Source organism: Homo sapiens, chromosome 7 (assembly GCF_000001405.40).
Source record: "Homo sapiens chromosome 7, GRCh38.p14 Primary Assembly".
Lineage (NCBI taxonomy): Eukaryota > Metazoa > Chordata > Mammalia > Primates > Hominidae > Homo > Homo sapiens.
This window is the reverse complement of record NC_000007.14, coordinates 120,353,710-120,373,506: the sequence shown is the minus strand read 5'-3', so window position 1 is coordinate 120,373,506 and position 19,797 is coordinate 120,353,710. Positions and strand designations below refer to the sequence as shown.

Genomic DNA, 19,797 nt, shown 5'->3' with positions numbered 1-19,797 from the left:
TATTCTCATAAATGAGGAGCAATTTAAAGCTAAGTCATTTCTAAGGAGTAGGAAAAGAGCTTTTCAGATTTGCATATGAATCACTTCTTATAGTTTCCTGCTTTCCAATGTGATATGATGAATGTACACTGGCTATTCTGGATTGTATTGTGCCAGTTTATACCAGTAAGAAATAGCAGCAGGGCCTAGGGGCAGGCTCTGTTCTCTAGCTACCAAAGAGAGAAGATTATTGTATTCTACTACCTTATTTATGGAAGAAAAATGAAGTAAATCAATACTATATTCAAAAATCTAGCCTTAGATCAGAGGAAAGCAACAAGATGAGGAAATGCCAGGATATAAATAATCCCTATAAAAATTAAATAAGTTATATCCTGAATTTAATAATGAATTACACTAGGAAGTCTTGGAGCATTGGCAATGAATAGGAACATTCTGAGAGGACTCAGGCACAAGTCACTGAAAGGTATCATTTTCCAGAGAATATTCTCGTGAAGTTAAAGGATCCCTGAGGGGAAATGAAGCTAAGGGCACAAATCCGAAGTAAAACTTTATAAAGGAAATTCAATTCACAGACTAACTTCAGTCCAAAAAGTCCAGATTCATAAAGACTTGTAGTTGAAAGGCTGGTGGCAGCTATTCCATTCTGGGGACTTAGCAGAGAGCTTTGATCCTGGAGTATTTGACAGTACTAAATTTAGCAGTCCTGTTCCTCTTTGGAAAAAGAAACCTATCAGGTAAGAAAGAAGTTCATAGTTAAACAAAAAGACGAATTTCTATTCACAGTTTTGATTATTTGTGTGAAAGTTCTAGAGTTATCATTTCAAATAAAGGAAAAGAAAGGAGATTTGTTACATAAAGGGCCTACAATTTAATAAAACAGGTAGTTCTTTATAAAAAACTGAAAATCATTACAATACAATACAAAGTTTGTTTTTCTAGGTCTGAAAACTATGAGAATGTTTTTGTCTTTAAAATCAAAAACAAAACAAAACTTGAGTTTTTAAATGTATTGAAGTAAATTATTTGCAGAGTAAATAAAATGAATTCAGATTTTTAAAAAAGCAAACTTTGCTCATTGCCCAGTGAACTAACAGCTGTAATATTAAATTTTGAAACCGTTTATGAGAGAATTCTGCATTTTTTTTTCATTTTCAGATCAACTTGATTTATACCACTTCTAGATCTATAAGAGAAGTGGAGCAGTGTCGAGGAATGGAGTTTAAAGAGAAATTCGAGTGAATGCCTTGCACACTGGAGAATCTCTAGCAAAACAGTACTTGAAGAAAGAGAGTAAATTACACTTATAAGAGTATCATCAAATTATCCTAAATCTCAAGAAAATTTCTGTCACAGATCTTATACCTTATATCTAAAACAATACCAAAGAATCAGCAATCCCACTACTGGGTAGATAACCAAAAAGAATAAAATCAGTATGTCCAACAGGTATCTGCACTCCTATGTTTGTGGCAGCATTATTGAAAATGGCAAGGATATGCAATCAACCTAAGTGTCCTCATCACATGAAGAGATAAAGAAAAGGTGGTATACACGGTTATATGTTGCTTAACACCAGGGATACGTTCTGAGAAATGTGTTGTTATGTAATTTTGCCATTGTGTGAACATTCCTGGAGTGTACTGTACATACACAAACATAGAGTTTGTAGCCTACTAGACACCTAGGCTGTATGGTATAGCCTATTGCTCCTAGGCTACAAACCTATATAGCATGTTACTCTACAGAATACTGTAGGAGTTGTAGTAGAATAGTAAGTATTTATGTCTCTAAATATAAAAAATGCAGTAAAAATAAAGCATAAAAGACAAAGTACACCTGTATAAAATATCTACCATGAATGGAACCTGCAGAACCGGAAGTTGCTCTGGGTGAATCAGTGAGTGAACATTGAGTGAATGTGAAGAAAGGGTCTTATGGAATCTTAAAATCAACTTGTTGAGAAAAATCCACAGAAGCCTCCCTCCCACTCAACTCCATGGCCTCAATCAGGAAACTTATCAATCAAATTTCCTCACAAGGGTTCTCTGCCTAGGCACTGGTTTAGATAGTCTAAGAATTCTTCCAGTCCAAGAAATACATTAACTGTGTTTTATCTTTTCTTTATAGTACTTGCCACCTTTGGAAAATGTCAGCAGATTAGCAGCTGCAAAGTATGTAAGCATGATTAAAAATAAGGCAGTGCCCCTGTGGTAGATCAGAATCTACTCAGAAATTATTTCATTTCCCTCTCTGTGGGGCCTGTCTGTGGGACATGTATATAGCAAGGCTCTGCTGAACTCAGGGATGGTCACATGACTTGCTTTGGCCAATGAAAGGTGGGCAGAGGCACATTCTGTCTACAGATAGAAGATTAAAGAGGAAGTGTACGGTGTGGCATGTTCTCTCTCCCATCAATTACGATAGAGACATGTCCCAAGACAAGGACTGCTTCAGTGGCCTGAGGTCCAAAATGAAGGCAGTAAGAAGCAGAGCTGCAACTAGGGAGAAATAAACCTCTGTTGACAGACTGGTTGTTCCCACAGCATAAGCTAACCTATCTGGAGTAATAAAATCACTCACCTTCAGCACTGTCAACACTTACCAGCTCTGTTATTTTTTTCCTTGTAAAGAAGCAAAAGAAAATTGATTCTAAATAAGAGGTATTTGTTACCTTTCCCTGTTTGGAGCTCTGGTATAATCTTTGTTTCAAAATATGAACAGTACAGATTATGAGCACATATTCTCTAACACCAAGATTTAAATCCAACTCTGTCCCTTTTCCGCTGTTATCTTGGACAAGGAACTGATTTTTCTGTGCTTTGCAGCTTCTTTTGTAAAATGAGAATAATAATAACTAATCCTTTACAGGATGTTTTGAGTGTTTACTCTCTCATGTAAAATAGAGAGTATCTGGCAATGGCAATAATATGGATGTCATTATTTACCATTAATATCACTATTATTATTTGCTATGAATGTTATTTGCCAAGGTGTCCATGGCTTCTGTAGGTAACACATGTACTTTTGTGTCTGTCTGAATTCAATACTAATCCATTAGAAAATTCTGTTGACTCTACATTCAAAATGCGTCCTGATTGCAAATAAGTCAGAAGACATCACTTATGCCCAAAACTTTGCAGTAGCTTCCCATTTATCTCAGTGTAAGAACATCAGCCAATTGTGCCCTCCAGGATCTGCATCTGGCCACGCCTCCCCTGTCCCTTTCTGATTTCCTCTCTTGCTATTCCTCCTCTGCTTACTTTATACTCCAGGGAGCTATTCTCCCTGCTCAGTTTGTCCTTAAACACTCCAGGAAATGCTTTTACTTTAGGACCATTGCTCTAGCTCAGTCCTCTGCCTGGAATGATCTTCTTTCAGGAATCCCCACTGCCAAGTTCCTCACCTTCTTCACATCTTTATCCACATGTCATCTTCATAGGAAGGCAAACAGACCATCCTTTTGTGTTGTTTTGTTTTCATTGCAAGTCTCTTCCCCATCCACCATATATACTCTGGCCCCTATGACTCACATCTACATTTGCTTTTTCATTTTTGTCACAGTACTTACCGTTTAACATAGTATGTAATGTGATATATGTATAAGTTCATGATTATCTTCTATCTGCCACAAAAATGCAAGCTTTATGAGGAAAGCGTTCTTCTTTTGTTCATTGATTCCAAGTAACTAGGTACTGCCTGGTACATAACAGGTGGTAAATAAATATTGTTGTCTGAGTGAATGAACAAACTTGAGCATACTGTGAAAGCTTCTTTTTAATAAACAAAACTGGTTAGCAGTTAACAATGCCATTATGGAAAGTTAACATCTAAGAAACAGTGCCTATTAAAAGAAATAAAGTGCCAAAATGTAAATAAAGCCCAAATGATGAAGTACACAGATAAAATGAGGGATTTCATATTCATGCAGACTCTACATCTGGATTGAGGAAGGTCAGCTATTTCAAGCTAATAAGGAAATCATGCCCTCAGAAGCCCTGAGACTGCGGCTTTGTTTAGATCTGTACTTTAATATTTAATTTCATATATTTCCTGAAGGAAACTGATTAATAATTGCAACCAGTGAAGCATGTACTTTAAAAGATTGACCCCCGCAAGCTGTTGTTTTTTGAAGATTAAAATAGTATCTTTTTTCTTATAAAACCAGTCACTGATGGGACATCTTTTTAACTTAGAGTTGAAAATAAACTGAAGCAAAATATAAGAGGTACCTAATTAACCACACGGTTTGCAGATTTCTTTTTTTAGGACAACAAAGCTGATTGTTGCACATTTTGACACTTTGAGATGATCCTAAAAAATATTAATTTGAAACTTTTATGCTTGTCAAAACTTTCTATTTAAAAAAAAAAATCTCAACCCACCAAAATTGTTAACTTTCAAACTCTAACTCATGTACATTTATCAAAGAAGGATCAAAGATAACAAAAACAACACCAAATACCATCTCTACTACAACAACCATTAACAAACTCTGGTGTGAACAAACAGTAGCTCCAGCTTAGTTTGGCAAATGAGCAGCTGCAGGTTATCCACAGAAAACCTAATCTTGAAGGACAATGAATAACTGAAATCTGATTAAGTAAAAATGTTTGAAGTAAAACACAGTGGTTTAACTTCTCCTCACTGCCATATTTAATTTAATTCTGTCCTTTATCCTACATGAAATCCTTATATGTCTTTATTACAGTCTTCTTCACATTTCAACCTTTTAATTCTTTATGGATGACAATAATTATTTCCAAGAGATTTGGCTTATAGTCAAATTTCCTATAAACATCTTCATATTATCAACCAAACTGAAAATGATAAAGGAGAATTAGTAAAAAGGAATACTCCTGCAAATTTAAATGAAATGTATGGAGAGCTTACGCACTTAGTATAGGCTAAATTTGCAAATTGTATTCTAAATAAAAATGCTCTCAAATATTTTTTAACTTACAATCAGATTTCCATTGGTAGAGAAAAGTCACTTTTAGAATGAAAAAGATGATTGGTCATTCCCATGTTTACTAAGAAGCAATTTAATCGATTTTTAAAATTTATACAAAGGATACATGGATTAGTTTTTTATTTTTTATTTTTTTTATTTTTTCAGGGTAGTAGTTGGGCTTCCATACAAAAAAATACTTAAACTGTCAAGAAATACCTTAAAACCCAAGAAACTTACATTAAAAATAAAAACTCTCCATCTTATCCTCAACTAGCAATTAGCAGTTTCACCACTAAGAAGAAAAATTATCACTGGATCCGCCAGAAGAATCTGAAGAGTAATATAAATAAAATTATTAATGGCTAAGAAATCCTCAATCTTTACATCACAGAAATTTCTTTCATTGAAGCCAGGGAGAAGTAAAAGCTGATGCTGAAATGCTTCGGATCGAATGAACCTTGACACAGTACTATAATCTGAGACCAATCACAGAGAAAAGATGAGCAGTGTGTCCAGGCATTTAGATGTGACACTCCTGGTTACGGCTTGCCGGGCTGAATTAGTATCAAATAAAACAACTATCCCAGGCCTTTTACACTCTGGCAACAAAGATCCCAAAGGAACTTAAACCTGTAAAGCAGATATTTGTCAGGAAGAATGCAGTCCTTCCCTAGTCACCTTGATAGGACAATGAAAACGAAATATTTAGCTATTATCAGCTGTGTCCTCACTGCTACTTGCTCCTTTTGAAAATGATTATAAAAGTAACTGGTCACTAGTTTCTGAAACTAATTGACACTACAAGCTGAATCTCCTGGCTTTCTTCTGAGAAGCAAACCCATAGCTATTTAGTAATGAGAATAACATTTCTAAAATTTTGCAATAAATCCCTCCTTCATTAAAAAAAAAAAGAAAAAGAAAAGATGTTAACCATAGAAGTTCTTGTTTGGAAGAGGGCCTGTTTAAATTATCTTTCTTTTTTTTTTTTAACTATGGATTTTCTGAAATTTCCCATAGAGGCACTCCCTCCTCAACACCTACTTTACGAGCCTTATTAAAACTTCAGGTTCTAGTGATGAGATATTGTAATAATGCAAATATAATAAGGGAAAAGGAATACTGTTCTCAAAATTATCTCCTGGTTCTAAACCATAGAGGCAGCTAGTCAGACCCTTTTTGTCTTTTTTTAAAGGAAACAGAAGAGTCAGCATTACTTTTTCTCAGAACACAACAGGAAAACAACCTCATACATAGATCATTTTGCTTCGCTTCATAACTGCTTCTCTTAAAACCACAGAAAATAATTAGGCAGACCTGGGTTCAAACCCTAAATTCTTCTATTTGTCTTTTGTCCTTAAACAAGTTCCTTTACTCCCATGGATTCCAGGTTTCTTGTCTGTAGCAGGTGTATGACAACCACCTTATGTAAATCTGGGAAGGATAATGTATCATAAAGACATAGCAATGGGCTTGGCACATAATATGCATGCAATAGCGGCAAACCTACACCCCCTTAGATACTGTAACTACGCCTGTGGTTACACACCAAATTTTTAAGTTTTAAAGTGCTCTCATGTATATTATCTAATTTGATTCTAGGAAGTAAAGAAGGGAGAAAGGGAGGGAGGAAGAAAGGAATGGATAGATAAGGTCAACAACTATTATCCCACTTAACAATTTAACAGATGAGGAAAAGTGACACAAAAGTTGGTATTACACCCAAGGTCACATAGTAATGACAGAGATTCGGATTTTAGAAATAATTTGGTCCAATCTGTTCTTTTAACAAATGAATAGACAATGTTCAGGTAGCTGTGAGAAAGTTAGAACGAAACTGGTGTGCTGCTTTTTAGGACAGTTGTTTTCTGACCACAGAGCATTGTTCTGTCACATGTTGGGTTCCAGCAGGAACGCGGGGAGCAGCACCATATAGAGAATCTATTCCACTGAGAACTTGGGAGAAAAAAGTTTCTTTCTTCTCTTTTCTTTTTTCTTTTCTTTTCTTTTCTTTCCTCCCTCTCTCCTTCCTTCCTTCCTTCCTCCCTCCCTCCCTTTTTTTTTTTTTTTAATGGAGTCTTGCTCTGTCACCCAAGCTGGAGTGCAGTGGCACAATCTCAGCTCACTGCAACCTCCGCCTCCCAGGTTCAAGAAATTCTCCCACCTCAGCCTCCCAAGTAGCAGCTGAGAATACAGGCATGCGCCACCACGTCCAGCTATTTTTTGTATTTTCAATAGAGACAGGGTTTCACCATGTTGGCCAAGCTGGTCTCGAACTCCTCACCTCAAGTGATATGTCTGCCTTGGACTCCCAAAGTGCTGGTGTTACAGGTGTAAGCCACTGTGCCCAGCCAAAATTTCTTTAACTCTTAGCTTAATGTTTCCTATACACACTACCCTGCTTGTATTTAGTTATCATAACTCAATGACTCTCTTCTATCAAGATAAAGCTTACTTTTCATGGGACTCTGTGATTCACCACAATGCTGTTTACTAACTGGAATCATCTCTACTATAATTAACAATTGTCTAAAATTGCTGATAAAGGGCACAGTTATCCACCCCCTCAAAGTTTTTTCTCAATCTGAACATTTTAACTAAAGTTTGTAATAATATTTTTAAATGTCTATTAAATATCTCATTTTATTCTTATGTAAATTGTACAGTTTCAACATTTTTCAGTTATATTTATGTTGTTTTAATTACTTACCTGAACATCCATTTCACTTACTTATAGAACTTTACATTAACACTATCCATAGAGCTTCTATTTAGAACATGTACATTTTGCTCGAAAATCTCATTTATCTTTTCCTGTAGGTGCATCTTTCAGTTTCCTTCTTTCCTATAACCTTAACCATGCACGTCAAAAAGTATTTAGTAATTGTACGATTGACATCTCAATATTTTCTTATTTCTGCATTCATTCCCCATAGGTCCAGCACCTCTGCCCTTACCTTAATCAGGGGCACGCAGGCTTGTTCAGGGCATTGACTAAACCATTGGCTGTAATAAACATAAATACATTTCTGCCTCTTCTGTCCTCCCTGAATAGGGACTGAAAAGAGAAAACGGAGCTCTTGCTGATACACTGACCTATGTATACATGGCCTTACAGCCTTCTTAGTTCCTCAGGTCCTGACCCAGTAAAAAACCTGCTAGATTGCTACTGTCTGACATGATCCTTGGTCTTAACTTTCTGCCTAACCTTGCATTCTTGCTGTCCATACCTACAAATGACACTTCGGCTCAGGAGACATCTCAAAAGCAGGCTTCATCAATTAGTATCCCTGAATTAGCTCGCCCGTCCCTCCCTCCCTGCCTCCCTCCCTCCCTCCCTCCCTTCCTTCCTTCTTTCCTCCCTTCCTTCCTTCCTCTCTTTGCTCCCTCCCACCCTCCATTTTCCCTTCCTTAATTTCATCTCAAAGCAAAATACGAAGAAATAAATAACAACTATGAACTTTACCTTGGCTTTCTCACATACTCACCATCTTGTTATTAATGTCTTTAAATGCATGTTTATACCTGTCTACAATATCAATTTTGTATTTTAACATTTTTCTTTTTACAATGGATAACTTTTCTATTTTGTTTCTTATAATCTTTTTGCTCCTTACAAAATCGTTTGCTGGGCCAAACTTTAGTTAGGCTTCTGAATTTTCTCCTAGGCCCATCTGTGCAATTCTTTGTCAAATACAGTTTTAGCAAATAACCCTGCTAAGTCTGACGGGCAAGAAACCCCCATCCTCAATATCTGATCATCTTTGATGTCTGATTAGGTTCCTCATCCTCTACCACTCCCCAGGTGATGTTTGATCATGCTGGCCTGTCTTCAGCAAAAATACCGTGGGGTCAGTTTAGCCAGAATCCTCCTTACCCTTGATGTTTCCTCTTAGATAATGTCTGTCCAATGACCTCTACCCCGCTCTTTTCCTATAAATTCCCAGTTGCCCATGCTGTATTGGGAGCTGAGTCCAATTTCTCTCCCCCATTGCAAAACCTTGCATTCCCTATACCTATTGCATTAATCCTAAATAAAGTATTCCCTATTGTGTTTTACCAAGTACCACTGGATATTTTATCTTCAATAATCCTCCTGTCATTGTCCCAGCTTATTATGTCCATAAATTATGCCTCCTAGTCTGTGAATGGTTTTGCTTTGAAAATTGACCTAGTATCCTTCCCACTGCTTTTCTCTGGAGTTAATAGTACCAAAAATACTTCCATTTACTAAACCAGCCTTCTTTCTGGAGAGCACTTAGGATAGTATGGTTGATGACACAGAGGGAAATGGTGGGGTTCCCCCCAGAGAACTTGGCCCTAAAACAAAGTACAAAATTGATGTCAGTGTTAAATTCATAAACCAGATACATGAAGATGAGATTAGAAATTGTGAAAGTAAGTCAACTCAAAGTGGTAGAAATATAAAATCTAAGAACAATACATTCAACAAATATTTACTGAGTATCTCTTATGTGCCAGGCACTGTTTTAGGTGCTTGGGATGCATCAGTAAACAAAACAGACAAAGGTGGAGGATTAAACAGAGTGGCAAACCAGACACTTAAAGGATGAGATTAAGCCAAGTGAGTATCTGGGCAAAAGTGTTCTAGGCAAAGGCATCTGAGTGCAGAGGCCTCTCCTGTGTTCCAGGAATAAGAAAAGCAATAAGAATGCCAGTGAGAAGGGCAGAGTGAGCAACAGAAACAGCTGGAGGAGATCTATCAGAGGAACAGAAAGATAAGGTGATGTCAGATAAGAGTGTAAGGGTAGGAGAAGATCAGGGAGGGCTAATGTTGACTACTGTAAAGAGTTTGACTTTTATTCTCTGTAAAACTGGAAGCTATCACAAGGTCCTTAGAGAGGTAACATACATGATCAAAATTAGGTATGACAGAATCACTTTGGCAGTTCAAGAGGAGCAAGGGTTGAGCAGAGACACAAGTTAGGCAACTAGTGTAATAGCAGATGAGAGATCAAAATAGCTGACCAGTGTGGAAGCAAGGAGAAGTGGTTGCTCTCTGGATACATCATTTGAAACATAATGCCATAGATTACATGAGGTATCAGAGAAAGAGCTTGGAATCAAGGATAACTGCAAGGTGTTTCTCCTGGAAATTGGAAGGATAGGGTTTCTATTCCCTAATATTGCTAAAATGTGGTTAGAGGAGATTTTATGAGGAATATCAGAAATTTAGTTTTGGGCATATGTGGTTTGAGAGATTCTTAGACATCCAAGGAGATATATATATATAGATGGGATCTTGCTCTGTCATCCAGGCTCAAGGGCCAAAGTGCAGTGACACAATAAAAGCTCATTACAACTTCTACATTGCAGGCTCAAGTCACCCTCTTTCCTCAGCCACCCGAGTAGCTATGACTACAGGCATGCACCACCATACCTGGCTAACATATTTTTGTAGAGACAAGGTCTCACAGTGTTTCCCAGGCTAGTCTTAAACTCCTGAGCTCAAGTGATCCTCCCATGTCGACCTCCCAAAGCTGAAATTACAGATGTGAGCCACGACACCCTGCCTGACTTCCAAGGGTTTATACAAGAGTCACTCTAAAAGACATTATCACTCTCTTCTCTCCTTCCCCTTTCTCCAGCTATACTCCTACCTCCCAATTAATACTTTCCTAGGGAAAATACTCTGCTTGGACCTTCCTGGTTCTGTTCACCCTGCATCCAACCTATAGAGGTGGTCAACGGAAAAACAGAAAATATATTGAAAAATTGCCAAAGATAAAATATATTTCATTGTTGAACGGATGCTAGAAGGAAGCCATAAAGTATAGCCTATGTCACAGAATTACAGACTTTTAAGAATCTTAGGCAGAATCTACAGCAACCTCTTATTTTATACTTGAGAAAGCTGAAGCCCAAGGATAAATGACTTTCAAAAGGTCAGTCATCTAGTTATTACAGAGCTCGAGCTAGAACCCAGAGCTCCTGTAAGCTGTTAGAGCATGCTGCCTCTCAGCTGATTTCCTGCTTTTGCTATAATTCATACACTGCAACATTCACATTCTATTTACATATTTTTACTTGGAAATACAATTAAATGCCAGACTTTTAGCATAGGGTCACCACTGTCCTGGCCTTGAAAACAAAACTTTGTCTTTTCCTTCCTTTCCTAATTAGATGTCTTTGGAGACCTTCAGTTAAACTCAAGATGAATACGACGGCTTATAAAATGTCAAGCAGATAGATTATTTACACCAGTAAGATAGTCTCAGATTTAAACCAGAGAAACTTTTTACTTCAAAAGCCATTTACATGAGTAGAGTTGGGCTATATAAAAATGATGACATTACAAGAGTTCCAAAAATTATTTATGGAGAGGGTAACGGACAATAAAAATTTAGAAAAACATTCTTTAAGATTTTGCAGCAGCTCTTTCTTCTACTACAGACTTAGCTGTAATTTCATATGGAAAGGCTTGCAATCAAATGAGAGATGCAATCTCGCCCAGGTAGGTAAGGTGAAATAGCTTTAATTATAACTTCCTAGCTATAGAAAATGAAAGATTATGGATTTGGTTATAATTTTTTAGCTTTCTTTCTGTATCTTCTTCAGAAAATTCTCCCAAAACCATTGATGTTTATTGGATCCACAGAAAAGGCACCAGATTCATGGGGAGCTGTAAATCCTTCTATTCAGTTCTGACAGTACAGAAATAGCCTGGACTTCTTTATGGTAATTAAATATTTAGCTTTACAATAAACTTTAAATAGAATTAGAACTTACTTTGGAACCTACTTTCAACCACGTTCTCTCATTACATTAATGAGTCAAATAGGGATTAATGGTGATTATATTTAATAGCAAATCAATATGTAAAATTTTTGAAGCTGTACATTTAAACACTCTGCCTTCGCCTTTCTGCTTTTCAAAGTTCTATCATGGCCTTCTCCTTTTCTCACAACATGCTTAACATGCAACTCACTCACCATATGATGCTGTTGCTCATTCTTCTCACCTGCCCTGAATGCTTCAAATCCCAACTCTCCATCCTCAAATAAATGGCTTTTACAAATTGCCCTTCTAAGCACAGGAAGGTGATTTATTGAAAATTTAATGTAGGCAGATAATCTACTGAGAAATTGACTTATGTTTTATTTCTAAGCTTTATCTCATTAGGAAAAAAAAAAAAGAGAGAGAGAGAGCGAGAGAGAACTTGTCCCATTTCCAAGAATGAAACAAGAAATTCTTCCTAAGGACTGAGCTCTGCTTATAAAAATGAGTGGGAAACAGATCTTTTTTGCTTCAGAACTAGAAAGGAGAATTTTTAGGTTAGAACAAGCTAAAGAGAACTTACTAAGCAGCCCCTTTTTTTCAAGGTTAAGGTTAGGCATTTCACACTTGGCTTACATGGTAATCTGTTTCCTGCCAAACTAAAGGCTTCTGTGACAGTCAAAACAGAGGTACTACTTTGGGGATTTTGTAAAAATCACCACCCTTGTATAGAGCTACATTGACAAGCCACAAGGACCAGTACTGAAAGTCTTATCATATGTGTGTGTACAGAGAAAAGATGAGTATTTGAGCTGAAATGAATTTCATTTAAACAAATATATACTATATTGCCTGCAAAAGTATTTTAAAAGAATGTAACCTGTTGCTTACAGATTATGCTCATAAATAGCACAAAGTAGAAAAAGAAAAACAAAAATGATATCAAGTCTCTGATGAAGTAAATAAGTAAAAGTCTATTTCCATTTTTGGAAGCTATGCATTTCCATCCATTGTTTTCTTATATCTAAAGTTTTAGTTTTGGTGTGTTTAAATTGAAAAGTATGTAACACTGGCGTCAAGATTAAGAAGAGCCAAATCACATATTTTTAGTGAAAATATGTTTAAAAGTGTCAATGACAGGGAAGAAAAATACCCAAAATACAACTTTGCTCTGTCCCAAATTATCTAAATCAGATGCTTAATTAAAAATTTATTTAGACTACTCAGTCTACTTTCAAAGTAAGTATTACAGAGCCACAGAGTACTGGCACAAAGGCTTAATCTTTTTACAGACTTTAAGTATATCCTGTTAAATTTGGCAGTTTTTAAAATGGATAGTCTTTCCAAAGCCTCCAGATCAAACATTGAGGCAAAATATGATGTGATAAGAGCATGGCATATGCAACAAGATGAAGAAAGGGCAGATAGAGATCAAAGATAGGCTTTGATAAACCAAATCAATATTAGGATATCACTGGAAATTTTTGGTCAGAAAAGTTATAAAACCAAAGGATAACCTTTTAAGGCTCCTTGATATCAAGACATGTACCTTTGTGCCCTTTCCCTGCAAAACCTATAAGAGCACTCGGTGATAATAAAGTTCAGTAAATTATATGTATTGAATTAATTTTTAGTGAAAATGAGCTGATGATAGTAATAATCAGCATTATTCTTAGCAGCCTAACCAGAATTTTGCATGGAGAGTTATACTGCCTCCAAAAGAAAAAGCTATATTAAATAATTTTCACACTTAGATCTTGTATTAGTCCATTCTCACACTCCTATAAAGACAAAACTGAGATTGAGTAATTTATAAAGAAAAGAGGTTTAATTGACTCACAGTTTTATTGCTGAGCAGTCCTCAGGAAACTTACAATCATGGCAGAAGAGGAAGCAGGCACGGCTTACATGGTGGCAGATGAGAGAGAGTGAGCAAGAGCAGGGAAAACTGCCTTATAAAACCCTCAGATCTCATGAGAACTCACTCACTATCACGAGAACAGCATCAGGGAACCACCCCCATGATCCAATCACCTCCCTTCTGGTCCCTCCTTCGACATGGGGATTATGGGGATTACAATTCAAAATGAAATTTGGGTGGGGACACAGAGCCCAACTATATCAGATCCCCTGCTCAAAAGCTTTTTGATGCAGAAACTTTTCCCATATTAAGTATTTTTTATTATCAAAAGAAGTTCTTACAGTCTACCTTCTTAATTTATAGTTGGTAATTCCTCTTTCGGAAAAGATAAGGGAATAACGAGGAACTACATTTACATTACCATTTATACAAAATAGATGTAACATGAGATTTTTTCAAATTGTACATGTATTAAACATTGCAAGGACACATAAGATCTTACCATATTATAAAGTCTTATCTTAAATGTTTGGAGATGTCACCCATTTTGCAACCCATATCGGTGGTGGTCCAAGTCATGCTATAATGAAAAGGTCAAAGGCCATCAGAGAGGCAAATTTATAACAATTTCCTTCCTCACATGTATTATCTTTATTACATATACAGAATAAGTTTTGTTATGAAGAGAGGAAGGGTGCCTTCTTTGGCAAGAGAATGAAGAAAAAAATTGTGCACAGAGCACAAAATCTTTCCAAAAATGGCCATTTAAAAGGTAGGCTTCATACAGAGCTCAATCTTTTTCCTTATATGAAGCACTGAACATGCTAACCTGACTTATTCCAGTTTGTAAAATACCATTAATATCAATCCAAAATAAAGCACAATAGGAAGGGTCACACTATAAAGATCAACGAATGCCACCTGTGGCCTGTAAGGGTTTCTCTTTCTCTCTATTTTAAAGTATCTGACCTATGCCACAGAACAGCTTCTGCTGTTAGAGTCAATATTAAGTTTACAATGTATGCATTTTGTGCACAATGCAATGCTAAGCAATGTAGGTAGTAAAAAAAGAAAATATTTGCATATAGTTGTGAAAACATAACTTACTTGTATGAAATATCCAGAGATTTGTACAAGATAGCATATTATCAAATACTTTACAGAAGAGTACAGCCTGCACATAGTTCGAAATTCACTGGTTACAAACCTTAGGCAAGGCTGACTTCTGCAGTAGTTGGGTTTGAAGGTAGCCTTAACAAAACAACTGCATTCACAAAGGGAAATTAGGTAGAGATTTTCGGGCAAGAGAAATTGATGAGCAAGTGCATCAGGGTAGACTTAGGTATTTTCTGTACATTAGCAGTATCAGCAATATTGCTGATATTAAGCTGATTAAAAACACAAGATTCATGTCAGGAGAAAGAAAGAAAACTGATTAGACAAAAAAAAAGGAAACCTTAAATTGAAGTCATTAAAGCACCAAAATCTGAAAAGTTTGAATTCAGTGCAAGAGACAATGATGACTGCTTATCCCATGTACCACCAACAGATCATTTTAGTTTCACATCAATCCAATGCAGATTTATGCATTGAAAATAAAAACAAAACCCCTAAATCTCTGTTAGACTTACCTATGAGTAAAAAAGGAGAGAGAAAAATAATTCTAACCACAAGGAGCATCCTAATGACAACTTCGAGAGGATTTTTCAAGGTCATCACCATCTGTACTGACACATCTTATTCACCTGTTATACACACCTTGCTAATTCCTAATAAGTATTTTTGCTCTTGTAGTTAATTTCTATCAGAATATTCTGTCTCTGTGTCAGTTTTTTCACACCATACCCATCCATCAAATTCTAGTTTATATCTCCTTTTGTTCCAGCATGTTATCAGAATCACCTCACCTCCACCATACTCCAATTTTCTGAACACCCATAATACCTTCAAAACTCACTGAAGACAATGATTATACTTGCTGTCAATTACAGACTGAACTGTGTCCCTCCAAACTTCATATGATGAAGCTGCAACCCCCGATGTGGCTGTATTGAGAGATAGGTCCTTTAAAGAGATAATTAAAGTCAAATGAAGTTATAAAGGTGGGTCCATAATCCAACAGAACTCATATCCTTATAAGAGGAGACAGAGGCACCATCAGTATACTTAGGACTGTCTGAAAGCAGAGAGGCCTCAGGAGAAACCAAACCAGCTGGTGCTTTGATCTTGGACTTCCAGCCTCCAGAACTGTGAGAAATAATTTTTTTTTTTTGTTTAAGTCATCTGGTTTGTTATGGCAGGCCTGGCAAAATAATATACTGCCTGTATTTAGTAAATAATGATCTTTTCTTCCTTCTTTGACTCTGATCCTCTGGAGTGCATGAATCAAAATTACCTAATTTCTAAAAATCTCTTACAATGCTAGGAATAGTTTATTTATTGCAATAACATAAGATTATTGCATGTAGGTATACATAAATAAACAAATAAATTCAAATTCTTATAGACGAAAGTATTCTTTAGGAAGATTTAAACTACTGATGGGATAGGAGGGTAAAAATCACTTAAAATACCAGTATAAAACAGGAAAAGCACATTGTAATGAAAATAATTTTGACTTGGGAGTCATAAAATCCTGAATTTGAATCCTGGCTCCTTCAATTAGTAACTGTATATATTGGTCTTCAGTTTCATCATTTAAAAATTTGGATAATAACATTTACTTTTCAATATTATTAGAGGTGAAAGAGGCTTAAGCACTGATTTTAATTTCTGGTGGCACTTGCTTAATAAATGTTAGTTATTTTGATGATTTTGAGTATTCACTTAGAAAAAGAATAAATTAGTGAAAAAAAATTAACCTGAAAAAGGGTGAATGTATTACAAGAGATCTGAAGGAGCTCATGAAATATGGAGGATGGGAAAATAAAGAGCTTACTATGGGAAAACAAAAGGATTGCAAAGCAGTACTGAAAAGCACAGCTCAGCCTGGAAGTCTAACTTTTTAATAATACCTATGCACATGGTCACATAGCTTGTCACTCCCGCAACCCCAGTAACGCTAACCAGCCTGGAAATAATAAGACAAGAGAGAGAAAGACTGGATTCACATGGAGCTTGCGATTAGTCTGGAGAGTATGGTAAAAGAAAAATAATAACGATATAGAGAGAATGAGAGTGCTACTAAGAATTTCTGTGAAATAGATCCTTAGTTCATCCTGGATAAAAAAATCCAAGAAGTTGCCAATAGCAAGAAATGATGAGGAAATGGAAATTGTGGTTGTTTTCATGCTCCCATTTTACTATGTTATTTCTTGACTTATCTAATATTATGGCTTCCCCAAATTCTACATGTGATTATACCCCAACAGTGGGCCAGACTGGGCCCCTTTACCCTGATTAATCACGTTTCAATTAAATCATGGTTACAGGATTTCAATTTTATGATCACATCATTTCTCACCTAACATGATATACTACTGCCGGACATATGATCATTCAAAGTATTTATTTATGATTTAGCATTCCTGTTACAATGTCTCCAGATTTTATGTTTATAAAGAACCTAACATTTGCTATTATCCTTATAGTAGCTACACTCTCAGCAGTGTAACTATAGTTTACATGATGTTAAAGGCATACCTAGGGGAGCACACATTATTTCATGACTTTGTAAAAAATGTTGTAATTATATAATCACCAGGGATAGCATTCCTTATGCTCAGGGAGTATATTACATCTCAGTAGTTTTCCATTAGAGCATTAGTCATATGGGGTTGGCATAAAAAATTAGGTGCCCTCCCTCAATTCAAGGTTAACACATAGGAATCACACAATTCATACTCCCATCGAGACTGGTTTGTCCTTTCTAATAACTTTTTCTCATCTAAATGTGTTATTTGATATTCCAGGAGCTCTTGCCTCTAAACTATAACACTTTAAATGCTCCTTACTATACAAGATTAGAGAAAACAAAGATGGATTCGATGTTCTCTATTTAGGTATAAATTAATTATGTAAATTTACTCAGGAGATAGAGGCATTATAATTTACAAAGAATTTACATGGAAGATTTAGAAGTTATATCAAGTGGAAGTTACTCAGAAATACTAAATAACAACAAATTTCGATGACGACATGGTTTCTGTTGCATGAATTTCCTCACAGAAGATACAGACAGTCCCCTAGTTATGATGGTTTGACTTATGCTTTTTCTGCTTTATGATGATGCAAATCAATATATATTCAGATATTCAGGGGAAAGCGTACTTCAAATTCTGAATTTTGATCTTTTCCCAGGCTAGTAGTATGTAGTAAAATACTCTCTCATGATGCTGGGCCAAATCATCTAACACAAAGCCTGTCTTATAATAAAGTGCTGAATATCTCATGTAATTTTCTTTTTTTCTGAGACAGAGTCTCACTCTGTCACTCAGGCTGAAGTGCAGTGGCATGATCCCAGCTCATTGCACCCCCCCACCTCCCAGGTTCAAGTGATTCTCCTGCCTCAGTCTCCAGAGTGGCTGAGACTACAGGCACACACCAGCACGCCCAGCTAATTTTTGTATTTTTAGTAGAGATGGGGTTTCACCGTATTGGCCAGGCTAGTCTTGAAGTCCTGACTTCAGGTGATCCACCCACATCTGCCTCTCAAAGCACTGGGATTATGGCATGAGCCACTGTACCTGGCCTCATTTAATTATTGAATACTCTACTGAAAGTGTTCTGGCACATTTAACACTGGCTGGGTAATTACAATGCCAGTAGATTAGGTGTAGTAGAGGTATTTTTGACTTAACAATATTTTCAACTTAAAATGGGGTTATGGAGAGGTAGCCCCATTGTAAATCAAGGAATAGCTCTATATGTATGTTAGAGAGCTTCAATGAAAAAGCAAGTGCAGGAGAGGAGGGTCATTTCTTCATAGTCTGGACAGATATAATTCAAGAAGAATGATTAAATTTACTAGCATATTGACTGGATTTCTTCATTCTTTCCCCTAAAAGTGTTTTAATGTTACTCATTTGAACATACACCTAGATACTTATCAAAGCTGAAGAATAGTATAGTTTATATAATGTATCTCATATATACAATGTTATGGGTTTTCTTTTGATAATTTTTAATTAAAGTTACTAAAGCAAAAATGTTTCTTCTTTTCTTTGCTTTTCTTTTCTTTTCTTTCTGTTTTCTTTTGGAGGCAGCGTCTCCCTCTGTTACCCAGGTGGGAGCTGAAGTGCCGCAGTGGCGCCATCATAGCTCACTGCATCCTTGAACTTCTGGCCTCAAGTGATCCTCCCACCTCACCTCCCCCTCAAGTAGTTAAGACCACAGGCCCATGCCACCATGTATGGCTTTCATAGCTTTCTCAGATAACTGTGGATAGTCTTCTTTGACAGCATACCAAATTTTGACTAGTGTCAGTTGCCAAAAGTGCAGTTACAACATGGATTCTGAAACCATAGCAATGGGCTTTCCATACTGTTACATTTTAAACCACTCCTGTAGCTTGCACTTTGAATATCTGTTTTACCATGCACAGTTTTGTAACATCCTATATTGGACATGTGTAAAATATTGGTCCTCCCAGTCATACTAATTTTTGAAATGTTGACAAGTTTCATTATATAACGCCTATATAGAAAACACATCTTCAACATCACCACCAATATTATCAAAAAAGTCCTTGAATATTGGAAAGTTGCAAAACCTGTAGTAGTGGCTGTGACAGGCTAATTTCATTTTTCATAAAATGTCTGCCAAATGCCCACATCTGAATAACCATAGTTGACATGTCAGTTGTTCTTCCAAGAAAATATGGTATTGCATTAAAAAAATGGCTGGTTCAGTTTGTCAACTGAACAAGGGCACAAGTGTTTTACTCTTGAGACAATAAGTGTACTTTCATATGAAGCAGAAGTACTCTACGTATATTTCCCATTTTGTCACACAAAATATTAAGATACTAAAATCTCAAAGGTTGAGATTTTATAAAATTAATAACTTTTGCTGCATCCACATTCTTAAGTGAAACTAGTTTGTAATTTTTAAACAATGAATATGTGGAGATGAAGAATAGAACAGTTTTGTACCACTGCTTTCAATTGTCTAAGGCACCTTTACCCACTATTGCTTTGTAGCATCACTACAAATATCAATAGAATGAAAAAGGCAAACAATGTATTAGAATATTATTTAAATAGTTTAACATTATGGATCCTTTAAAAGTATCTCAGAGACCCCCATA

At 36.1% G+C, this 19,797-nt stretch overlaps 1 protein-coding gene across 2 annotated transcripts in view, besides 1 other annotated feature; it reads right to left on the bottom strand.

Moving 5' to 3' along the window:
* Positions 1-19,797, bottom strand: part of KCND2 (potassium voltage-gated channel subfamily D member 2) — a 477,430-nt gene that overhangs the window by 376,831 nt on the left and 80,802 nt on the right. The window lies entirely within an intron of this gene.
* Positions 6,731-6,900: an enhancer, noted in NCBI's record as "active region_26552". NCBI's record gives its function as "activates an Ori minimal core promoter by ATAC-STARR-seq in GM12878 lymphoblastoid cells {active_cell/tissue: GM12878}" and the evidence as "EXISTENCE:reporter gene assay evidence [ECO:0000049][PMID:35858748]".